Below are 24,908 nucleotides of genomic sequence, written 5' to 3'. Positions count from 1 at the left end.
ACCACAGGCTTCTTGAAAAGCACAGACAGGGAGGTTATTTAAAAGGAAAGGATGGTTCTTCTTATTTTTTATGAAGGGGTTAACACTAAATATTGCCATGGTACTATGTACTTAGGGACGTAGTCACATGATGCTGGCTGGGCATGGTGGCTCACGCCTGTAATCCCAGCACTTTGGGAGGCCGAGGCAGGTGGATCACCTGAGGTCAGGAGTTTGAGACCAGCCTGACCAACATGGTGAAACCCTGTCTCTACTAAAAATACAAAAAAATAGCTGGGCGTGGTGGCATGTTCCTGTAATCCCAGCTACTTGGGAGGCTGAGGCGGAAGAATTGCTTGAACCTGGGAGGCAGAGGTTGCAGTGAGCCGAGATCGCACCACTGTACTCCAGCCTGGGCGACAGAGCAATACTCTGTCTCAAAAAAAAAAAAAGAAAGAAAGAAAAAGAAAAAAAAGAAAAAAAAAAACCATGTTGCCATATACTTAAGAGATATGGAAAATTGAAATAAATACAAAAATCAAATATATGACAAGGCACAGTTTTCAATGAATTTTAAGTTTCCAGCTCCAAGACCCATTTGAAGTACCATTCCTCAACCTCATACAATGGTTAAAAGAAAAATTCCTACCTTACCTGCTATATGAGTGGCCACTTTATGTGCTTTATTTAAACTTGATCCTCACAACAACTTTTTGAGGTGGATATTGATAACACTATATTAATAGACAAGCAAAAAGAAGACTAAGGCTCAGAGAAGATAAGTAACACTTGGCTGATAAGTAAGGACAATAGTTAATTTACAAGCCCAGATCTGTTAATATTACTTTTGTTTTTCATGTATGTATATTATTGTTAAACTCTCAAGCCCCCCTTTTTTTGGCCACTATGTTTGTTGACTTTCACTACTCACCTTCAATATAAAGTCACCTATTCCCAGTTTTATACCTAACGTAATCCCTCAATCAACCACTATATATAGGATTCTTCATTACTTTTTTTTTTTTTTGAAGGCGGGGACAAGGTCTCGCTATGTTGTCTAAGCCGGTCTCAAACTCCTGGGCTCAAGCAGTCCTCTCATCTCAGCCTCCCAAAGTTCTGGGATTACAGGTGTGAGCCACTTCACCCGGCCCAGGATTCTCTATTACTTTTTATAACTCTTTCCTATTTCTTCCTCCTAGCTGATTTTTCTGATCAAAGTGATCCCCGCTTGCCAATGCACCTTCCTTTCGAGCCTCGTGGTCCTTTCTTCTCAGGGCTTCTCACCTGGCTTCTTTCTCCCCACCTTTCTACAGCCTCCAGAGAGGCCCACATTTCACCTCCTCCTCCCAGCCCCAACACGAGTTGCAGTTCAGCATTTTTGCTTCCCACCAACATTTTCTGTTGCCATGGAAACCATGAGGCGGTGCTGGAAGGAGGGGGAGTCTTGGAGGCAGTCACTGCTGGCCTGGGGGTGGGAAGGAGTTGGTAGGCAGCTGGGGGAGGGGAGGAGCAGAAGAAGAGAGGCTAGAAAACAGAGCATCAGACACCAACCAGAGACTGATGGAGAAAGGGACTTCTCAACTCCCTCCGAGGGATCAGGAGAGGCAGGGGGAGAGCAGCCCAGCACCCGGCTGGCTTAGCAGCTGCATCTTTCCCATGGCTGAACAGAAGGAGGCTGAGTAGGCGGCCCCCTGTGGTGACGGAGCCCGGTTCCCAGGCTGCTTGTAATCTGTCCTTAATTTGCCACAGAGGAAGTTAACTTTATGTAGCTAAGAAAAAGAAAGGCTCAGGGGAGCCATCATCACAGAAAATAAATATGTTCCCATTATAAATGAAGTTACAGGATAATTTACAGTCTCAGAAGATGAGGAGATAGGAGGAGACAGGGAGAAATGGCCTGTATCTATTGAAAAGTTTAGGCTAAAAATTAGGAAAAATAACTTTACAGGAACGGTTGGTTGTTCTGCATAAACAACTGAGACAAAGAAGACAGAGCATTTTCACTGGCAGATAATTTAGTTGATGCCTCCCAGACACTTACTATTTGTGCTTGGCCAAAGTCCTGGGACCCTCAGACTTTGTCATGAAATTTGAAGAGTGAGGCTTCAGCATATATTGCTCAATCAGTTTTGTGCCAAGGGGAAGACATGACTAAGAACTGGAATCAAACAGGAAGAACTGAAAGTGAAAAGTCATCTTAATAAGCATTAAGTAAGTTAAGAAAGCAAAACTAAAGAGACTCATGAAATCTCGTGCAAGATAATAATTCATTGCTTAAACCAAGTGTTTGTTGGGTGTTCATTGTGTGCCAGGGACTGTCCTGGCCCCTGGATGTTGGGAGAGCAGGTGGACAGGCAGAAGGAAGAATAAAGCAAAGACGAGTAGGCAACAAACAGCCACTGGTTTTCTGGAGCTACAGACCAAGTGGAAGAGAGAGGTTCACTAACAAATCATTACAAGGCAATATAGTAGAAGTTTCCAGCACAGATGTATTTCAGATGCTGTGGCGTGTCATAGAAGTCTTGTTTAACTCTGTGGGAATCAGGGATGATGTCACAGAAGTGGTCTTTGAACCAGTCCTTAAAGGATGAGTTGAAGGGGTCAACAGGTACAGAAGCCCAGGAAGAATATCTGGGCAGAGGAAATAGCATGTACCAAGGGGCATGAAGACACAATAGTGCAGAGTATGTTGAGAAGACAAAGTGGTGTTACTGGAGTTCAGTGTTTGCATGTGAGGAATGGAAGAAAGAGGCAAGAAACAAGGTTAGAAAGATAAATTAGGATCAGCACCTCAAATGCCATCCTGTGAGGCATTTGAACTTAATCCGTTCAAAATGTGGGGAGTAAGCACACTGACATGTCAGGATTTGTTTATTAATACTCTGACTTTGATGGCACTATAGAGGATGAGTAGAGAGGGAAGAAGGACACAGGAAGAGGAGCTTATTAGCTGATGTGGCTATAGTGATGGACAGAGAAGAGTCCGGGATATTGCAGCAGAAAAAGGAATAAAACATAGTAATCCTTGACTTCAGGAGTGAGAGAAAGGGAGGAATTAAGGATGGCTGAGGGAGGCTTATAAGGATGAATTCAGCCTAAGCAAGTAAAAATTCCTTTTACAAAAATATACATGATGCCACCTAATCTGGATTCACATGCTATTTCTTCAAGAGCTGCAGAAGAAAAAAAATCAATTAAATTTTACTCTCCCAGCTTCCCAACCAAATGGTTCCTAAATATAAGACTCATCTTTCATGTTTCACAAAACAAAATCATATGTTAAGAAATAAAAGTGGAAGAAATTGCTGGATTACTTTTAAGTTATTAAGCAAATGGCAACCATCAGTATACCTTGATGTGCCATTTAAACACATTGTACCATGGCAAATGGCAAAGATCATAAAATAGCATTGGTAAAACTAGACACCAAACTGCTAAAATTGATATAACTGTACAGAAGACAAAAAAAAAGATTATTGTGTTCCTCTTAAAATTGACCATAACTAAAATTTTAAATAAGGGACCAACCTATTACTCATGATTTACTCAAATAATAAATACAGAAAGAAATACTGGATAAGCATTCATCCCGTTCTTGTGCACTGATAAGTTTAAAATGTTTTAAACTTATCATTTTTTGATACAATCATCACTTAAAATCCCAATGTTATACTGAACATCTTTTCAAATGTTGAAGAGATGAATGGTAATAGATAGTCTTAAATGGAAAGATCAATACCATTTTGATAGCTTCTTCCCCTATTTATCCAGGCAGTATTACCTTGTTTATCTCCATATCCAAGATATAAAGACTTTAAAGTTTTAACCCAGTTTTTCAGTCTCTGTCTAGACTGACAGCAAGGTGGAGGATCTCTGATCTCCATTTTCATGCTGAATTTCAGCATACTCTCAACTTACCACAAATGAGATCATGCTCTACCTCAAGACTGAGCCTTGGCCTACACACTTAAGACCAAATCAGACCCAAAGTGGCATGTATTTAAATTCTAACTCACCTTTTGTGACTGCACCTCAAATAACTCTTGCTGCTGATCTAGTCTTGTGGTGCTGCCTCACTTCTGGTAATTCTGACAGGCCCTGTCCCATTCCTGAGCCTCAGTCTTGCCCCACCCTCCATGCTACATGTCACATTTCTTTTTATCAAAGGTTTTAGCCAATGGTTTGCTTTGGGCTGAATAACTGAGACCTGCTATGCATTGACAGATGTATACCCTTCCCTCTGGAACTCTGAGTGATGCCTGACCCAGAATCCTCTGTGCCTTGTGGGAAGGGAACACCATCCACAGGCATACATTTGAATGCTTCTTTATCTTGGGCTACCAGTTGGAACTATCTACTTTATGCTCTGCCATTGCTGAATGCTACTTGGACACCATGCTTTACCCTCAGACTGGACCTCCTCTATCTGCTACTGCAACTCAATTTGTTCCTTGGCTCTTGTTTCATCCCAGTCCAGTAGAAGGGAGACCCTTTCCTGGCCCTGAAACGGCCCCACCTGCTCCATCCTCCTGCATGTAGAATTAGACATAGGCCATTCTACTCACAATCATCCTCCAAGCTTCCAGTCAAAGAGTGGCTCTATTCTCCAGGATGTTCTGTCTTTTGGCTTTTTCCATAAACTCAAATTCAGTTTCTCCAGACTTTTTGCCACAGAATTCCACTTCTTCTAGGCCTCAGAACTTTTCTTGTTTTCTTGGATCTCATCTCTATATTCTCTCTCCTTTCTACCACAAACAGTGACAGGATTGGATTACTTCTACTCAACAGACTGGAAAATTTCTCATAATGCTATACCACAGGCTGCTCCTGAGTATCTGTGAACCAGGTCAGAAACATCAAGTGTTGAGGATTTATTTCAACCAATTTGAGAGGAATGTACAGATGAACAGACAAGTTTCTGTTTATTGGCTGGAATCCCTGGAGCCATTCAAACAGGTTCAAATTAGCCATCAGTGTGGCTAAGGGCTCCACCTCAATTCTATGTGCAGCACACACAGCATTCTAATAGGAAATAATGAACTCTTAGAGGAAGGCATCCTTCTGTACTGCCTGATAGTCTGATTCAGAATCAGGCAACTCATTCATGGTCCGTGTCCTAATTTCATCACCCATGCAGCAACAGGACACTAGCAATACTGTCTTTTCATATGGCAGGCCACAATGTTATTTATAGAAGGTCAGAGTTTGAACTAGGCCTTTTCAGAATCCATTACAGTATGCAGCTACTGTGTAGTTTTTAACCAGTTTTCATCTATAAAATAAATACTTAACAATACTTTCAAGAAAGTATGTGCCGCACTTAGAATTGAGATGAAGCCATTAGCCACGCTGAGGGCTAATATGAATCTGTTTGAATGGCTCCAGGGATTCTAGTCAATAAACTTTCTTGAAACGATTATAAGTATTTATTTTACAGATAAAGAAGAAATTGATTCAAAGAAGTTAAACAACTTGCCCAAGGTCGTTCAACCAACTGGTTTAAGAACTTAGAATTTTCTGTGTAGGTGATGTTCGTTTTTAGTTTTCAATTTCTGGTTTGCACATTGTGTCTTTTATAATACATTTTATGTATCTTTTCAAAATAAATTGTGTTCATCCTTGTCTCAGCAAAAAAGGATTACATTTTATTTAAAAAAGTCTAATTTGTGGAGGCAAATGGCAGATGCAATCAAAACAGAAATTCTCCCCAAGCATTTGCTGATCGAAGTACAGCACAGAGTTGGAGACCTTGAAGACACCCCAACACCCATGTGAGGGATTATCAAGTCTAAAAAATGTCTAGAGACAAAGAAAACAGGCTGAGTTTTCCCAAAACTACACGGCCCTTGGTGCAGCCAAGTTTCTAAGGCACTCCTTATAGATTTGGTATTGCCAGTGATTTCCTTCCCAGAGGAAAACAATTCCTTACTGAAGGCAACCCTCTCAGGGTGGTGTATTGTGTTTAAAGCGAACATTACACTTTTATAAGTTTTCACTGGATACAGCATTATGTACCTTTTGCTTTTTTGATTCTAAAGTTTTTTTTCCCACTGGAAATTCATAGCTGTTTTCTCTTTGTGAATGCTGATAAATGATGACAGTCTATTTAGATCATTGTTACCATCTCAGAATCTGGAAGCATCATTCCTGTCAGGCTTTAAAAAAAAAAGTAATCGGGCAGATGAGAGAAGTACCTGAGAAAGGGATGTTGTTAAACGGAGGACTACTTTGAGAGTCCAGTTGCCTTTGCCACCTCAGCGAGCATCTCCAGGGCAGGTCCTCTCCTACATGAAACTTTTCCCACCATATTCAGCCTCCCAAATTCAACGTGATATTTTATAGGCAAATTATTCAGTCTGCTGAGGTGGGAGTTTGCCTGTGGGCTTACTGAGGATGCCTTGGAGGATTGATATTTTTTCAGCAGAAAGTTGCAATTCTACTTCTCAAGAAATAACCTCTTTTTACAGCACATGTCAAATATGTGGATTCTAAGTTCTAATAATCTCCCAAGGTTAGTTTTTTTTAAATTCAAGGTTTCCATCATGACTCAAATCTTAGCTGAATATTCCATTTTTTCCAAAATGTTAATTGATCGGTTACCAGTATACATTTGGTACCACCATCCACTAGCCCTGTTAACATTTTGCTTGGACCAAAAGTGGGTAGACTCTTAATCGATAAGAAGGGAATATAGAGATCATGTAGAGTAACTTCTTTGTTTTTAGAAATAAGGAAATCAAGGCACAGATCATTTATATTTTCTAAAAGTCTTACAGCAACTCCAAAACTCCTCTTGGAAATAAGTAGAGTGCAAAGAAAATTAAAAAATAAATGTCGAACTGGCGTAGAAGAGTCCAGGCCTCCTGAAACTTGGTTCTGTGTCTTTCCCCTTCCCCTGCTTTGTGACAGGATACAAGGATGCAATCAAAGTCATGAGATAAAACATGACATATCTTCGCCATGCATAGGTTTTACTCAGTGATTCAGAGCAGGGTAAGGTGGGGGGAGGGGGAGACTCTATTATTTCTATATGAAAGAAATGAATATTTTACGGAATTGCACAGAAAATTTGCTAAACTGTTAAATTGAAATACTAGACTTAAAGGAAACTTTATGTTTGCAACTTGAAACTTCAAGTTACACCCTCAGACTACCCTACCCCCTTTCTTCCTCTGCCATCCAGGGAAGCTCATTCTCATCCCTCTGATAGTGGGAGCATTTGAGTGGGAAAAATTGAAAAGCACTGTATGACACTGTGAAACTTCCTGCGTAGAGGGATTAACCTAAAAGCAGATACCTAGACCAGCCATGTTCGCTTCTCCCAAAACTCCAAAAACTATTCATAATGTTTTTATTAAGCCCATAAAGTCTGGAACCATGTGAATGACAACCACATGTTCCAATTAATTTTCACTGAATTTCTCAAACCATTCTATGGAAAAACAAATACATCATACCAAGAACTCTGTGTTTTGGGGGTTTGGTGTTTTTTTTCTTAAGTCTCTTAGGTAGTATCAAAAAGTGTTCTAGCATTGTATTATTAGTCTTTCCTATCTTTTATTTTTTGAGCGTTTGTGACATCCTATAGAGATCAGGTCTATTTTTTTTTTCTTTTTATAGACAGAAATATCTGGCTGCTTTCAAATATTTTTGAAAGTATCAGGTATTTATCAGACCTTAATTTTTTTTAAGAAAAGGGCCCAGATTCTTCTTCTTATCCACCCACGCTACCTGTTAGGAATCTGTTTATCAGCATCCTCGCTTCCAGGATAAAACTAAATATGGGAAACCTAGGAGTTATCCTTGAGCCTCCCTCTTCTTTACCTTACTTCAAGTCAACCAATCACCAGGATTGCTGATTTACCTAGCACACAGTTCTCAAATCTATCACCTCGACTTTATCTGTGCAGCCACAGCACCAATTCATGCCCAGAACTCTTGCCTAAATCAGTCTCATCAGTAGTACAGCCCAGAACATGTCAATGCATGATGGAAATGAAGGTCTTGAATCTAGGCTTCTAATGACATGGCAGCCCAAGATTCAGCATGCTGTAATGAAAAGATCCCAGAAAAGAGCCCTGGGTACATTTCTCTGACATTACCATCACTGCATTGAACGTGAATTATTAATTAGAGAAAATGCTTATTCTCCCTCCCAAAGAAATGACTTCTTTGATAATGGGAACCATGTTTTATTCATTTCTGTGTTCCTAGTACTTAGCTGTGTATTTGGCACATGGTAGATGTTTGCTTAACTTTTTGGAATGAATGAATGAAATTTCCCACATTTAAACTATGTGGCCCCTCTTGTCTACTCAAAGGCTTCACTACCCCTGCTCTCACGCACATCATCAATTTTCCCCTCTCTGTCGATTATCCTCATCAGCATGCAAACATGTCACAATAAGTCCTCATTTGAATTTTTAAAATTCTGTTTACCCTACATTACCCCCAGTTACTGTCCAATTTTTCAGCTCACTTTATAGCAAAACCTCCCAAAAGATCTTGTAATCACCATCTTCACCTCTATTCTCTCTTTAACAGGAAATTTTTCTCTTTTCCACCCTACTAAAAGTGATCTAACTACAGTCATCAGTGACTTTCCCATTGCCGAATTTGTCAATTCTCAGCCCTCATTTTATATGACCTATCATCAGCATTTGACTTAACTGATAAATTCCTTCATATTGAATTAATTTTCTTCCAATACCCCCATTATCTCTTGGTTTTTCCATCTTGCAGGCCATTCCTTCTCATTCTCTCCTTTTGGATGCCCCTCCCCTATCTTTCCCAAGTCTAACATTGTATTACCCAAAGGCTCAGTTCTTTGTGTTCTATTCTCTATCATTTTTACTTCCTAGGTGTCCTTATTCAGACCCGTGGCTTACATTACATCTATAAACTGATGACTCTTACAGTTGTATCTTTAGCCCAGACATCTCTCCTGAACTCTGAAATCTATAAAGAGATTTTATTATTTACATTTAGTTGCCTAGATGAAAGTATCCACTTAGATGTCTCACAGAAATCTCAACATTAAGGCATCCACAACTCCATTCTGCCTTACACACATACACACACACACACACATGCACACAAATAAGTTTGTGCATGCTTTTATTTTTCAGTCTTCCCCAGGGCGGAAATGCTGTCTTCATTTTTCTAGTGCTCAAGAGAAAAACTTCACATTTATTTCATCAGCAAATCCCACTGGCACTACCTCTAAAAACATCCAGAGTCTGATTATTTCTTAAATCCTTGGCACCTGCTCTAAGCTGTCATCACCTCTCCTCTGTTTAATTGCAATAACCTCCTAACAGATCCCCTTTCCTTCTTGAGCCCCTACGTAGAGTCTCTGGATCCAAAGCAATTTTTCCTAAAGTAGATGTCAGATTATATTACCCCTTTACTCAGAACTCTGCATTCGTTTCCTGTCTCACTCAGAATAAAATCTAAAATCCCTTACAGTGGTTTCCAAGACCCTGCATGGACAGATCATCTCTTCCTGTCTGATTTCATCACCTTCTGTTCTTCCCTTGAGCACTCCACTCCAATTGTGATGGTTACAATTGAGTGTCAACTTCATTGGGTTGAAGGATGCAATGTATTGTTCCTGGGTGTGTTTGTGAGGGTGTTGCCAAAGTCAGTGGGTTGGGAGAGGCAGACCCACCCTCAATCTGGGTGGGCACCATCTAATCAACTTCCAGTGTGGCTGGGATAAAAGCAGGCAGGGGAACGTGAAAGGACTAGACTGGCTGAGTCTTCTGGCCTCCATCTTTCTCCTGTACTATGCTTCCTGCCCTCATACATCAGACTCCAGATTCGTCGGCTTTTGGACTCTTGCACTTATACCAGTGATTTGCCAGGGGCTCTCGGGCCTTAGGCCACAGACTGAAAGCTGCACTATCTACCTTCCTACTTTTGAGGTTTGGGGACTTGGACTGGTTTCCTGGCTCCTCAGCTTGCAGGTGGCCTATTGTGGGACTTCACCTTATGATCTTGTGAGTCAATACTCCTTAATAAACTCCCCTTCATATATTCATCTATCCACTTAGTTCTGTCCCTTTAGAGAACCCTGACTAATACCCCAGTCATACAGGTCTCCTGGCTGGTCCTGATCCGGCCAAGCACACTCTCACCTCAGAGCTTGTGCCCTGCTAACCTTCTGTTTAAAACGTTCTTCCATGACTTAGCTACAGCTTTTCTTATTCAATTCATCGAAATCTCTGCTCTAATGTCACCATATCAAGAGGCACTTTCTCCTCACCCTAACACAGCACCTGTCTCCTTTCCCTGCTTTGTCTTCATTGTTCTCACTCTACATGTATTTCTACATGTATATTAATTTGTTGCTTAGTCAGCATCTGTCTCCCTTCTTGCCCCTCAAACCAGACTATAGACATCACTAAAACTGGCATCTTAATTATTTTTGTTTTTTTGGGGTTTTTTTGTTGGTTTTTTGTTGTTGTTGTTTTGTTGGTTTATATACATGTTTATATATATATATATATTTTTTTTTTAATTTTACTGATTTATTTCTAGCTCCTAGAACAGAACCTGGCACATGGCAGACATTCAATAAATATTTTTAAATGAATGAATGAATGAACAAGTCGCCTTGGCAAAGGACACATGGATAGAATTTTCTTGCTAATGCATACTTTTGAACCCTCTACCTTGGCTTTACTAGTACCATGCTTTAAATAATTGAGCTAATGAGCCCAGACAAGATAATGATATTTCTTATTAAAAGATGTAAGAATGCAGAGTGCCAAGGCTGCTGAGAGGACTGCTGGTTGTTATAGCAACTCTGAAAGCCAGGCAAGTTGGCTGCCAGCAAGCGTTTATGAAAACATGTTTATGGAGCTTCCTAAACATTTTTCTGAATTGATTAGACATGTATTTTGTTTGTTGTCTCATATTAGGAGTTATTTACCTTGCATACACAGTAAGTTAAGGCACCCTGCAACATACCCTAGAAGGGAATTGTATTAGTTACTCGAAACACCTACATCTCTGCATCATCCAACCAAAAGCTGAGTGGCAGTTAAGAGAAAAACTGCTGATTAGAAATATTTGAAGATTCATGTAAAAACCAGAAAATGGCTTTTGATAGAGTTTCAGTTAAGCAAATCAAATAGTCCTAATAAAATTTTATGTTTTGTTTCTTAAGGAAATTTCTCCCATTCTCTCTAGCTTGATTTTCTTTTCCAAATTCTTCTATTCAACATACTCTTAATTAATATTTTTAGTGACCTTAAGTATGGGAGGGCAGTCACATTTATCTATTAAGTCTCATCTATAAATTCAAATATATTATTTTTCCATATATTATTTTATTAACATTTTCACAAAATCGATCATTATCCCCATTTTGCCTAAGGCTTAAGGAGACTGATTTTCTCAGGATCACCAAGTGATAGAAATGGCACTCAAACCCTCATCTATCTGACTCCAAATAGTGTATTTCCACTGTTTCACACAATTTTTAAAATAATACTTCAGGAATTATCCCACTTGCCTGCAGAATCCAGAGTGCTTTTGCTAGGACATTCCTAAAACCTTACCAACTGTTCATTGAGTCTGAGGATGGTTTTAAGAACTCCAAGGTCAAAGACATTGTCCCCAACACCCGTATCAGCTCAGCAGTGACTTTCAATAAGCAAACCACAAAGGAAAACAGTTACCCTTAGGCTTTGTGGTTCATTGAGTTAAATTCAGTTCATTTGCCAGCATCTCCATGAAGGGAACAAAAGGATAATTCTTTTCATTCACCTCTTGATGGCCCTTAGCAACACTCAGTGAGCAGCCACTGTTCATCCCGTGGCTATGGTTATTATTAACTTTCCTCTCCACTGCCAGGATACATCGCAGCGCATCCTACTGATCCTGCTTCCACAAAGTTCTCAACAAATAAACTGGGTCAGGCCATATGCCACATTTTTTTCTCTTGACATCTTGCCTTCCTCTTTTTTCACCTGTATGTATGAAATGCAAGACCTTTAATGCAGAAATAAATACTCAAAAGTGTTTGAGTGAACATCAAACCTCAAGTACCTTAAGTAACATAATTTCCTTTAATGCTGTTTCCCTATAGTGTTGATAAGAAATGTTGATACCAATTTTATTTAGTATATTTGGGGGGAAAATACACACACACACACACACACACACACACACACACACATACCTACATACACACACTGTTAAAACAGTTCTTCAGGCCTTCATTACCTCTAATTCTAGATCATCACATTAACATTCCAACTCAACTCTTCAGCCTCTGTCTTTTCTCTCTAATGTCCATCCTACACACTACCCTGGATTTACCTTATAAGCATAGCTATAATCCTACTAGTCCCCAAATTAAAACCTCTAACTATGACTCAATACATATGACCAAAAAAAAAAAAAGTCTAAATTTTGGAGGCTGGCATATAGGGTTATCCTCTTTGGATAGACCCAACTGATTTTTAATTTATCTCCTATCAGATCCCTTTAAATCTCAAATTAGGTTAGTCATCATTCTCTTAATATGCGATACGCTTTACTAGCCCTGTACTTTTTCTAAGCCTCTCTTTTCTTCTCCCATTATGCAATGTCCAGGAGCAATGAGTTCCATTCCTAGGATTTTAATTATCACCAATGCCCAGATAATTTCAAAACCTCTAAGTTCTCTCTCCTTAACATCAGGCCTGTTTTTCCACGTGGATGCCCCCCAGGGACCTCAAATCCACTGCTCTTCCCAAATCTGCTGCTTCTCCTGCAGTTCCCATGTCAGTAAATGGCATCACTATTTTTTCAGTCATTTAAGCCAGAAATCTGAATGTCAGCGTTGTCTCCATCTTCTCCTTATGGCATTTTCACACCCAGCTTTGTACTGTTTGTGACTTGATAATATTTCTTTTCATCTCAATAAGAATTTAAGTGAGGTCAAGAATTTATCATTGAATATCTGGTTTCTAAACCAATGCCTTGCATATAACAAGTTCTTAACAGTTTTCTGGCCCAAAGAAACAATAAATTCATTACTTATGTATTGATTATATTCACAGATGTTTTTAATTATTGGTGGATTCAAGTGTGCAAATGAATGAGATCAAACAAGAAAAGAAACATACTGAAATAATGGCATGTGTAGTTCTATAGAGCAAGTCCTCAAGTTACACCATTTCCTGTAATGCTGTTTCCTTATGATGTTGATAAGAAAAAAAATTGACTCCCAGCCCGGGTCACTGTCTGCGTGGAGTTTGCTTGTTCTCCCCATGACTGCATGGGTTTTCTCCAGGCACTCCGGTTTCCTTCCACGGCCCAAGGATGTGCTTAATGCTAGGTGAATTGGCAAGTCTACATGGTCCCAGTCTGAGTGAGTGCGAATGTGGGTGTGAGTATGCCCTGCGATGGGAGGGTGTCCCGTCCAGGGTGCGTTCCCACCTGGTGCCCTGAGTTGCCGGGACAGGCGACCTTGAACTGGAATAATTGGGTAAATCATCATCTTCCTTTTCATTAATATTTCTTAAATGTATGTATAGCTCCCATTTATTTTGATGTTTAATATTAGAAGTATTTGCTTCTTTATTTAGAAGTTTGGTGATTACTTTCTTTGACCAGAAATATACCATAGGAACTGAACTCTTGTTTATATTGATTTGACTGTGGTCAAATTGGTTTCTTTATACATAGTTTCAATTACAGTTGCAATCTCCAAGATCTTATCCATGACATTAAGTGAGGACTTGCTGAATTTAAGAAAATCTACTGAGAGAAAAGCAAAGCATTCAAGTCAGACCTTGACTCACTGCACCTGTGTGTCAATTTCAACTTGTAAGTAGGTAGGGCTGACAATGGAAGGGATTCTGCAAAAATGTCAGCAGGTGATGCTTCACATGGAAGGATGCTTTAATAGCTCTACTCTTACCAGCAGCAGCCCCCACAGAACAAAGAAATCAAGAATTTGGGAGGCTTATGAAGGAATGAACCAAAGTTCAGCAATATATTAGTATATTAGTTCAATGGTTGGATGCTTAATTTAGTTTCCCATGGCTGCTGTAACAAATTACCATGAACTTGCTGGCTAAAAAAAACATTTATCTTCTCTCCAAGTTTTGGAGAACAGGAATTCAAAATAAGTATCACTTGGGCAAAATCAAGGTGTCAGCAGGGGCTCATTCCCTCCAGAAGCTCTAGAGGGTAATATGTTCCTTACCTCTTCTAGCATCTGGCGGCTGTCAGCATACCCTGATTTGTGCCCACATCACTCCAATTTCTGCCTCTGTGGTCACAATGCCTCCTCCTCTTTTGTCTGTCAAAGCTCCCTTTCCATCTATTTTATAAGATACATGTGTTTGTATTTAGGGCCCATCCAGATAATCCATGGTAATCTCCCCATCTCAGGATCCTTAAGTTAATCACAACTGCAAGTTCCTGTCTCCTAATAAGGCATAATTTACAGGTTCCAGGGATTAGGATCTGATACCTTTGGGGGCTCTTATTCACCCTGCTGAAGCAGAAGTTCTGCCTGAGTGCTGGTGTGAAGTAAACTCAGTGCATGTTGGTTGCTGTTACTGTTTTGCTGCTATTGTTGTTACCCCGAGACCAAAAACTGATCCAATACTTCTGAACATACATAAGAGAAGCTCAGGAAATTCGTTACTCCTGCCAGCCCTTGAGTCCTAATAGAAGATCAGTGAATTTCAAATCAAATATTTGTCAAAAATGGCTGATCTTGTATTGTTAAAGTCGCCTGCAGTCATTTTTGACTGCTCATTCATTTTCTTCTATCCTTTCTTTGTGTATATGTGCAGTTACTTTTGATAGTGAGCTAGAAATATGCATAGTACTTGATTTGAGCATATGAATAGAAGATTATCTGCAGTCTGGTGGGTGGGTGGGCTCACAGCATTGCAGCACATAATATTATATTTTAGTTTGGTAAATGGAATATTAACTTCATTCCCAAAACCTCTTTATGAAAGTGAAAAGGTTTGAGTTAGCGACTGGATTTAGAACACCAGGCGCTGTACAGTCACTCTTTCAGGAAAGGGTGCTATATAAAGCTGCACAATAAAAGATTATACTGCATCAAAATGTTCTCATATGCAGTGTAACCAATTCCATTCCTTTGTGAGATATGCCAATGTACAGAAGAAAATTTAAAACTTTTTAGTTTTATAAAGTCATTTATATTCTTGCTTCCATTGTGGACAAGGTAATAGAATTTTAATAATCCAAACCCAATTTATTATATGGTACATTTATATTTTCCCAACAACCACTAGATCAATATTTTGTAATAAGAATAGATATTTTCAAATTTAACTCTTTCTAGAATTTAGCGTTTTTGCATACAGTCTCAGCATCCATCCACTTAGAGTTTGGGATTTTCTCTGCAAAGATTGTTCTATCCTGCTACTTTAATCATTTTTATTGAAAAATCTTTTGTATTTAAATAAATGATAAAGGGGATATCACCACTGATCCCACAGAAATACAAGCTACCATCAGAAAATGCTATAAATACCTCTATGCATATAAACTAGAAAATCTAGAAGAAATGGATAAATCCCTGGACACATAAACCCTCCCAAGACTAAACCAGGAAGAAGTTGAATCCCTGAATAGACCAATAACAATTTCTGAAATTGAGGCAGTAATTAATAGCCTAGCAACCAACACAAGCCCAGGACCAGACAGATTCACAGCCGAATTCTACCAGATGTGCAAAGAGAAGCTGGTACCATTCCTTCTGAAACTATTTCAAACAATAGAAAAAGAGGGACTCCTCCCTAACTCATTTTATGAGGCCAGCCTCATCCTGATACCAAAATCTGGCAGAGACCCAACAAGAAAATAAAATTTCAGGCCAATATTCCTGATGAATATCGAGGCTAAAATCCTCAATAAAATACAGGCAAACTGAATCCAGCAGCACATCAAAAAGCTTATCCACCACAATCAAATCAGCTTCCTCCCTAGGATGCAAGGTTGGTTCAACATACACAAATCAATAAACATAATCCATCACATAAACAGAACCAATGACAAAAACCATATGATTATCTCAGTAGGTACAGAAAAGGCCTTCAACAAAATTCAACAGCCCTTCATGCTAAAAACTCAATAAGCTAGGTATTGATGGAACTTATCTCAAAATAATAAGAGCTATTTATGACAAACCCACAGCCCATATCATACTGAATGGGCAAAAACTGGAAGCATTCCCTTAGAAAATGGGCACAAGACAAGGATGCCCTCTCTCACCACTCCTATTCAACATAGTGTTGGAAGTTCTGGCCAGGGCAATCAGGCAAGACAAAGAAATAAAGCGTATTCAGATAGGAAGAGAGGAAGTCAAACTGTCTGTTTGCAGATGACATGATTATATATTTAGAAAACCCCATCATCTCAGCCCAAAATCTCTTTACACTGATAAGCAACTTCAGCAAAGTCTCAGGATACAAAATCAATGTGCAAATATCACAAGCATTCCTATACACCAATAATAGACAAACAGAGAGCCAAATCATGAGTGAACTCCCATTCACAATTGCTACAAACAGAATAAAATATCTAGGAATATAAGTTACAAGGGATGTGAAGGACCTCTTCAAGGAGAACTACAAACCACTGCTCAAGGAAATCAGAGAGGACACAAACAAATGGAAAAGCATTCCATGTTCATGGAGAGGAAGAATCAATATAGTGAAAATGACTATATGGCTCAAAGTAATTTATGGATTCAATGCTATCCCCATTAAGCTACTATTGACTTTCTTCACAGAATTAGAAAAAAACTACTTTAAATTTCATATGGAACAAAAAAAAGAGCCCATATAGCCAAGACACTCATAAGCAAAATCTTTTTTATTTAAATGTTTATTTTTTTTAAATCTACTGTGAAGAAGCAACAAAGATAGGCATAAAGATAACGAAAAAGACAGGTCCTAACCCAAGAAGGTCAAAATATCATGGGCAAAACATTTATGTAACAGTAATAGTCACTAAATTTTACTGATTAGTTACTCCATGCCAAGCACTAGATGCCTTATATGTACTAGTTAATAAAATGATCACCACAATCCTATGATGTAAAATGCTGTTATTATCCAGGTGTTTTCAGATGGTGAATGAGGCTTAGAGAAACTCAGTGACTGCTCCCAATAAGTAGATTCAGATATTCTGAATCTATCCTGAGCCAACACCCTGAGGCAGCTATAGTGTCCCCAGTATAGAAGACCCAAACAAGGTAGCACCAATGAGGAAGGAATTGATTTTCCTTCTCAGACCAGGGACTAGCCAAAGAAGTTCTTAGGTTGTGTCTTTAAGGGTAGCAACATTTAGGAGTGCTTGCTATGTGTCAGATATTATCCTAGCACTTTACGCACATAAAATTCACTAATCCTTGCAGCAATCCTACACAATAGAAACTATTGGTATCCCCAGTTTAATGATGAGGAAATTGAAGGACAGAGAGATTAAGTAATCTATCCAAGACCACACAGCTAGGAAATAGTAGAGCCAGGATTCCACACAGGCAATCCAGCTTAAGAGCATCTTTTTTTTTTTTTTTTTTTTTTGAGACGGAGTCTCGCTCTTGTTGCCTAGGCTGGAGTGCAATGGTGCAATCTCGGCTCACTGCAACCTCTGCCTCCTGGGTTCAAGTGATTCTCCTGCCTCAGCCTCCCAAGTAGCTGGGATTACAGGCATGCGCCACCACAGCTGGCTAATTTTGTATTTTTTAAGTAGAGACAGAGTTTCACCATGTTAGTCAGGCTGGTCTCAAACTCCTCACCTCAAGTGATCCACCCACCTCAGCCTCCCAAAGTGCTGGGATTACAGGTGTGAGCCACTGCACCCAGCCAAGAACATCATTTTTTTTTTAACTTTTATTTTAGGTTGTGGGGTACATATGCAGGTTTGTTACATAGGTAAACTAGTGTCACGAGGGTTTGTTGTACAGATTATTTTGTCACCCAGGTACTAAGCCTAGTACCCAATAGTTATTTTTTCTGCTCTTCTCCCTTCTCCCAACCATCACCCTCAAGGAGGCCCAAGTATCTGTTATTCTCTTCTTTGTGTTCATGAGTTCTCATAATTTAGCTCCCACTTACAAATGAGAACATGTGGTATTTGGTTTTCTGTTCCTGCATTAGTTTGCTAAGGATAATGGCCTCCAGCTCCATCATGTTCCCACAAAAGACATGATCTTGTTCTTTTTTGTGGCTGCATGGTATTCCATGGTGTAAATTTACCACATTTTCTTCATTCCATCTGTCATTGATGGGCATTTAAGTTGATTCTGTTTTTGCTATTGTGAATACTGCTGCAGTAAACATCGCATGCATGTGTCTTTATGGGAGGATGATTTATATTCCTCTGGGTATATACCCAGTAACAGGATTGCTGAGTCAAATGGTAGTTCTGCTTTTAGCTCTTTAAGGAATTACCGTACTGCTTTCCACAATGGTTGAACAAATTTATGATCCCATCGTGTGTAAGTGCTGCCTTTTCTCTGCAACCTCACCAGCGTCTGTTATTTTTTTACTTTTTAATAATAGCCATTTTGATTGGTGTGAGATGGTATCTTATTGTGGTTTTGATTTGCATTTTCTCTAATGATCAGTGATAATGAGCTTTTTTTCATATGATTCTTGGCTCCATGTATGTCTTCTTTAGAAAAGTATCGGTTTATATCCTTTGCCACTTTTTAATGGAGTTATTTGTTTATTTCTTGTGAATTTAAGTTCTTTTTTTTTTTGAGACAGAGTCTCGCTCTGTCACCAAGGCTGGAGTACAGTGGTACGGTCTCGGCTCACTGCAACCTCCATCTCCCAGGTTCAAGCAATTCTTCTGCCTCAGCCTCCTGAGTAGCTGGGATTGCAGGCCCATGCCACCACGCCCAGCTAATTTTTGTATTTTTAGTAGAGATGGGGCTTCAATATGTTGGCCAAGCTGGTCTCAAACTTCTGACCTCAAGTGATGCACCAGCCTCCGCCTCCCAAAGTGCTCAGATTACAGGCATGAGCCACCATGCCCACCCTGTTTAAATTCTTTATAGATGCTGTATATTAGACTTCTGTCAGATGCATAGTTTGCAAATATTTTCTTCCATTCTGTAGTTGTCTATTTACTCTGTTGATAGTTTCTTTTGCTATGCAGAAGAAAAGCATCATGATTAGCCTCTGGGCTAACGAGCTGAACAAATGTCAATCGTTAGCATTTTGAAGTCACAGTTGTTAATTTAAAGAGTTTGATTCAAGTATTCCATGGTTAAACAATCATCATAGACACAAATATTTTCCAATAGAATTCTCATAAAGGTTATGAGAATCTGTATGATTTAACTCTCTGATTTTCAATTTCCTAATTGGTGAAATGAAAATGATCATATCCACCTACTCTGAGGTTATCACAAAGTTTCATTATAAACATATATGAGTTCCTTACAAATTGCAAAGTGTTGTGCAAAAGTATTACAAAGCTGTTATTACTCCACTAACTAGGAATACAGGAAGAAAGCTTAAAAGTCCAAAAGTGTGTGTAGGGGAAGCTAAAACCTAGAGTATATGGAAAGGAATGACTATAGGTATAACTAAAGATCACCTTTTAGAGGATCTTGATTACCATTCTAAAAAGTTTCTTAATTAGAATATACAAATCAATACAAAATCTCTGGCCAGAAGAGTTATACACTCCTAGTTATCCTTTAAAAATAAGAGTTTCACCAGTAAGGTGGAATGGGAGACCCTGGAAAGAGAGGAAGTTCAGTCAAGGGCCTTCTCTGAGAGTCTACTAGTGAAAGGGTGGGGGTTGGATCAAATCATGCTATTGGATGAAGAGAAAGGCACAAGTCCAAGACATTGCAGAGGTGAAATAAACCTGACTCTATGATGTGGAAAGAGACATAAAGATAACTTAGAAGTTTTGTCTTGGCAATTTAATATGTTTCAGGAAGGGGAATTGAATCGTATATATTTAGTCCACTCTTTAAAAGATGTTTATTGAGTACCTGCTAATGCTAACACTGCTTCAGGTATCCCTATTTTATGTCATCATTTTTCATCCTCTTTGACAACTCATTCATTAATTAATACATTTAAGAAGTATTTTGAACACTGTGTTTCGTGCCAGATACTAATGAAGAAACCCCTAGATGGTGTAACTGACCCTAAGTCATATCAAACGGCAGAGTCTGGCATCTCACCCTGACCATCTGCCTCTTTCTGCCACTTCCCATTCGTTCAGGTCAGATACTGAGTTTCATTGAGGACACGTTAAGTTTAGGGATTCTGTGGGATGTTGGAAATGCTGATTTTATGCCCAAGAAAAAAAACGAAGATGCAGAATTAGTATCACCCTATATTGGCAATGGCTCAAGGCTTATCCAGTTCTAAAACACTGCATTAAAGAGGGACTTGAAACATATTCTCAAGATACATTTTAAAGAGCCAATAAAGTTGGGAAATAATATAATGCATACTCGAAGTTCCATATAAGGTTTTATTTTACTACTTGCCTAGGCAGAAAATTATCTGCATTATCTGTGAGCCCTTTGGTGCTGAGGATTGTGTCTTATTTATCTTTGTAACCCATTATCTGTAGCAATGCTTGATATAGAAAGAGCAACTAATAAATGTTTGATGAATTAATGAATGAAAGAGAAACAATGAAAGAATAAAGCAAACAGGACGACATGGAAAGAGCACATGGCTGGGAGTGGAAAGAATTAAATTGCCCATGATATATCCATGACCTCTATTTCCACTTTATTAAAATAGTGGATCATAATGCCAGCTGTACTTACCTCATGGGGTTTGTGGGTGTCAGATGAGTTCAGTTTAACAAGCAACAAGCATTTATGGTGTATCTGTTATGTACCTGGTACATATTATGTACAGTACCTGATACATAACAGATCCATACATACTGTGCCAGGATCAGGGACCTTCCAAGAATGAATAACATGATCCCTACTTTCAAGGAACTCACAATGGAAAAATAAATGTCACTAATAACAACAACAACAAAAAAGACAAGATGTTGATCAGTGGGAGAAAGAGATAAGCATCTATTTGTGCATCTAGTATCAGAAAAGCCTTAGGAAAGGAAGGTGTAATGGGAGATATAAAATGTATGAAGCATCACCCAAATATAAAATACTAATATTCTCAAACTAGTAGTTATTTATCACAGATACATTTACATTATTTTAATTCAGACATTCCAGGGTCTAACCTATGCATCTAAGAACATTTTGATAATACCCATGAATTCTTAACACAGGCATGAGGAAAGTGTGATTCTGATGCCAGAAGCCTCAAGTTGAAGTTTCAGCTTCACTGTGGAGTTGCTTTTGCCACCTTACACAGCACATTGCACGGGCCTTTACTTCCTCTTCTATAAAATGGGGATGATTATATCTGTCCTGCCTAATGAGAATTGAAGCAGATATATGAAAGCAATTTACAAATTTCAGAATGCCATATAATATGTCATCTAGGGAAAAACGCTAACCTTTGTGAACATGCTTTTATTAGAAGTTTAAGGCTGTAATTGCTCAGTATTTCTGGTAAATCAATCAAATGGTAATATATCCTGAATCTATATCTGAAGCTTATTGTCAAAATTATCCTCAAGCGTGATGATCTGATGCTATTGACACAAGGCATATGAGATCATATTACTGCCACCATCGCCTTGTTGCCATGGTAACCATAGCAGGCTGGCAAGAAAGCTCCCTGAGAGTTGAATTGGAAAGAACAAGAAAACTCAGCCCACTTCCTGCATTAAATGAATTACAAGTACGTGTAAAGAAAGAAAAGAAAATTGCTAACCCTTAATCAACTGCTTTTATTTTTTATACTTATAAGGAATACAGAGCCGTGTAGGGGACCTCGCTTTCCCACACACTGGGGTTCAGCACTTTCATGAGGTTGGAAGGTGGCATTTAGGTATTGGCTATGAAAAAAAAAAACACCTTAAAATACACATTAGCTTATATAATAGTCTTCTCTCTCAGGCTTGTGCAGTATTAAGCGGCAGCTGAGTCAAGCCTCTTTCATTTCTCTGGATGCAAAGCCAAAATAGAAAGCTATGAGGACACTAACAAAAGTATCCTTCAAGCCTGAGAAATAGAAATTATACTCTTAAAAATACCTTTTAATATTATATAAGCCAAATAGTGAGGACCTGGGAAATAAGTTCTGACCTGGAAATAAGACTTGCTTTTTCTTTAGCTTTGCAGGTCTCTGATACCATTAGAAAATGGAATTTTTAATAAAATTGTTCAACTTGAAAGTAAATTTCGTGGAGGCAGAAGGAGCATTCTGCCATTCTATAGTCAGGTTTTAAAATTCATTGTTCTTTGGTAAAAATTTGCTGAGTTCTGGCTCCATGCCAGGTGCTGAGGACACCAGGTGGAATATAAGCCATGGTTATTGTCCTGATTGCCTTCCAGGGGGCACAGATGTGCGGGCAGATAGCTTCGATGCAGTGTGATAAGGGCAGTGATGGATAGTGGTTTGTGTAAATGCTCCTGGAGCACAGAGGAAGGCCATCTTAATTAGAATGGAGAGCAGAAAAGGCATCCTGGAGAAGGAGATGCCTGAGTCAAGTCTAGAAAGAAACATAATGGGGCAATCAATACAGTGAAGCAATGGCAATTTTAGTAGTTTTTATCAGCTTTTTCCCTTCTTGAAATACTTCAAGTTACAGGAAGTTATCAAACAAAAAAAAGTACAAATTCATAACACGCTTAGATACACCCAGCATCCTTATTAATGACAAAAGCCATGTTTCTGAAAGAACATTTAGTGTTCTAATATTTCTCAGAAACGCTTTTATTTTTCAAACCAAGCAATAGAGAAACTTCCTGCTTCATATTAATATATAAAAACACAGTGAATTTTCATTCTTTGCTTTTAAGCTCGACCTAGTGGCACAAAAGAAATGAGCATTAAAAGGGTAAATGAATAAATGACCTAGAATGATGATAAATATTTTAGAACTCTTCAAAATATAATTCTCCAATCAGTGCTACCACTTCTGTCTCCACAGCAGAAAATGTCAGTTTTCATCCAACTCTTGGCATGGTTTCTTGGCTTCCTTTGATATCAGGCAAGATGTATTTCTATGATAGAATTTATTCCCAACTGCAGTAGGCTTATCTGATTTTATAGTGGCAATTCTGCACCTTCTTAAAAATCTAATTTATTTTACCGTGGGCTGATAGCACCACTCAGTAAAGGATAATTGACCAGTACTCCTGAAGTTAGGAGTTAAAATCCACTCATTGAACTCACACCTTGACTTGCAGTTTCTCATCTATCTTACAACACCTAGCCAGGTTTCAGCTTTGCTATCAGAGAACTTTAAAAGCAATGTAGAAATACCACCTAGATAACTAGTAAAGATGTGGGCATCTACTCTGGGCCCAGAGTTGGCTCTCTTTCTTATATTTATATTTGTGGTCATAAACCCTACATCTAATTTCAAGTTCTGTCACTAATTAGCTCTTTGAGTTTTGGCTGGTGTTCCCTTCTCTGGGCCTATGTTGAGTTTTGGCCACGGTTACCTTCTCTGAGCTTTCCTTTCCTCATCTTAAAGCAAGATGTTAGTACTGCACAGAGGTGCTGTGAGGGTTAAATGAGATTGGTGAATATCAAACTGTTTCCCCACTGTAAGAGGCTGTAGATGGAAACATCTAATGATGCTTTAGTGTATTGGTTAAGATGACATAGTATGTTGGGTAAGTGCATAAAGACAAATGCTAGATTTAAATGCCAGCTCTAGAATTTCCCAGCTAGGTGACCTTAGTCACACCTTACTTCTCTGTGCCTCAGCTTTTCCTTTTTAAAGTGGGGATAAATGAATAAATAGTAAATAACATTATTATCACTTATATGTATTTTGAACCCTGCGAAGTAGGCAACATTATCTCCATTTCATAGAGGAGGAAATTGAGGGTGAAGAAATTATTCTTCATATCTTACAGATGAAGAATCCAAGAACCCTAGGAGATAACTTCCTCAAGCTTATAGCTAGGAAATTATGGACCAGACCTCTGTCTTGGGTGTGTCTGTCTCCAAAGCCCATGTCCTGTTCTGCCATACTCTGCTGCATCTAGCTCAGGGCCTGGCACGTAATGAAAGCCCACCCATTCATTCCTTTATGTTTATTTCACTGCTGTTATATGTAATAGGCAAGGTAACTAGTAGCCAGCTAAGCCCACAATAGGAATTGCTCTACTTGATGAACCAATTAACTTCCTTTGTCATTTAATAAAAACAGGCATCCTGAGAGAATAGGACAGAAGCTAGCAAGTGCTGATGGTTGAATAACAGTACAGAAAGGTCCAGAGCCTGGGAACATTCTACAGCTCAGTGTGAGTTCCCTGACCAGCCAGGGAGCAACCTTGAGGGCAGGTATCAGAGCGAGAAGAGAAAGAAGCTGAAGATGGACCATCAGTTCACATTTAAGCTTTAATTCCACCTGCATGACAGAAGGCATTTGCTGCTCGATGACAGCTATGACTTCTTTGAGGCCATTTACTTCCCTTCCTCATTCCCTGTGAGTGATCAGTACCATGTATCTCACCTCCCTTTCTCTTTTGTCCATTCCATGTCTCTCGAGTTCTCATCTTTGCTCTCTCAACTTCCGAAATGCCCTAAAGAAGAACCCTATTATGCCCATAAAGTGTCCTACTGAAAGCTTTTTCTTTTCTCCTTTTCCCTTTTTCTGTCAAACACCTTTACAATTATCTCTGTATCCTCTTCTCTGTTCTAAACTCTGTTTCATACTTTTTCTCGGCAACCATTTCTTTAGTCACCTACCTTCTTATCTGTTCTCTTTTTAGCTCAAATCCTGTGTTCATAAATAAAATTGTCAATCTTTTATGAAACAAAACAGAACAAGCACTACCTTCTTTATCT

At 38.9% G+C, this 24,908-nt stretch overlaps 1 protein-coding gene across 51 annotated transcripts in view, besides 3 other annotated features; it reads left to right on the top strand.

The window, feature by feature from the left end:
* The window catches only part of ANKS1B (ankyrin repeat and sterile alpha motif domain containing 1B), a 1,250,151-nt gene that overhangs the window by 851,449 nt on the left and 373,794 nt on the right, over nt 1-24,908 (top strand). The gene's annotated exons all lie outside the window — the stretch shown is intronic.
* Nucleotides 1,437-1,506: an enhancer, noted in NCBI's record as "active region_6850". NCBI's record gives its function as "activates an Ori minimal core promoter by ATAC-STARR-seq in GM12878 lymphoblastoid cells {active_cell/tissue: GM12878}" and the evidence as "EXISTENCE:reporter gene assay evidence [ECO:0000049][PMID:35858748]".
* Nucleotides 2,207-2,256: an enhancer, noted in NCBI's record as "active region_6849". NCBI's record gives its function as "activates an Ori minimal core promoter by ATAC-STARR-seq in GM12878 lymphoblastoid cells {active_cell/tissue: GM12878}" and the evidence as "EXISTENCE:reporter gene assay evidence [ECO:0000049][PMID:35858748]".
* Nucleotides 23,999-24,599: an enhancer, noted in NCBI's record as "OCT4-NANOG hESC enhancer chr12:99502667-99503267 (GRCh37/hg19 assembly coordinates)". NCBI's record gives its function as "activates a minimal SCP1, AML or CMV promoter by ChIP-STARR-seq in naive H9 embryonic stem cells {active_cell/tissue: H9 hESC(naive)}" and the evidence as "EXISTENCE:reporter gene assay evidence [ECO:0000049][PMID:30033119]".

This window comes from Homo sapiens, chromosome 12 (assembly GCF_000001405.40).
Source record: "Homo sapiens chromosome 12, GRCh38.p14 Primary Assembly".
Lineage (NCBI taxonomy): Eukaryota > Metazoa > Chordata > Mammalia > Primates > Hominidae > Homo > Homo sapiens.
Note: the sequence above shows the minus strand (reverse complement) of the source record. Positions and strands in the feature narration are given on the sequence as shown.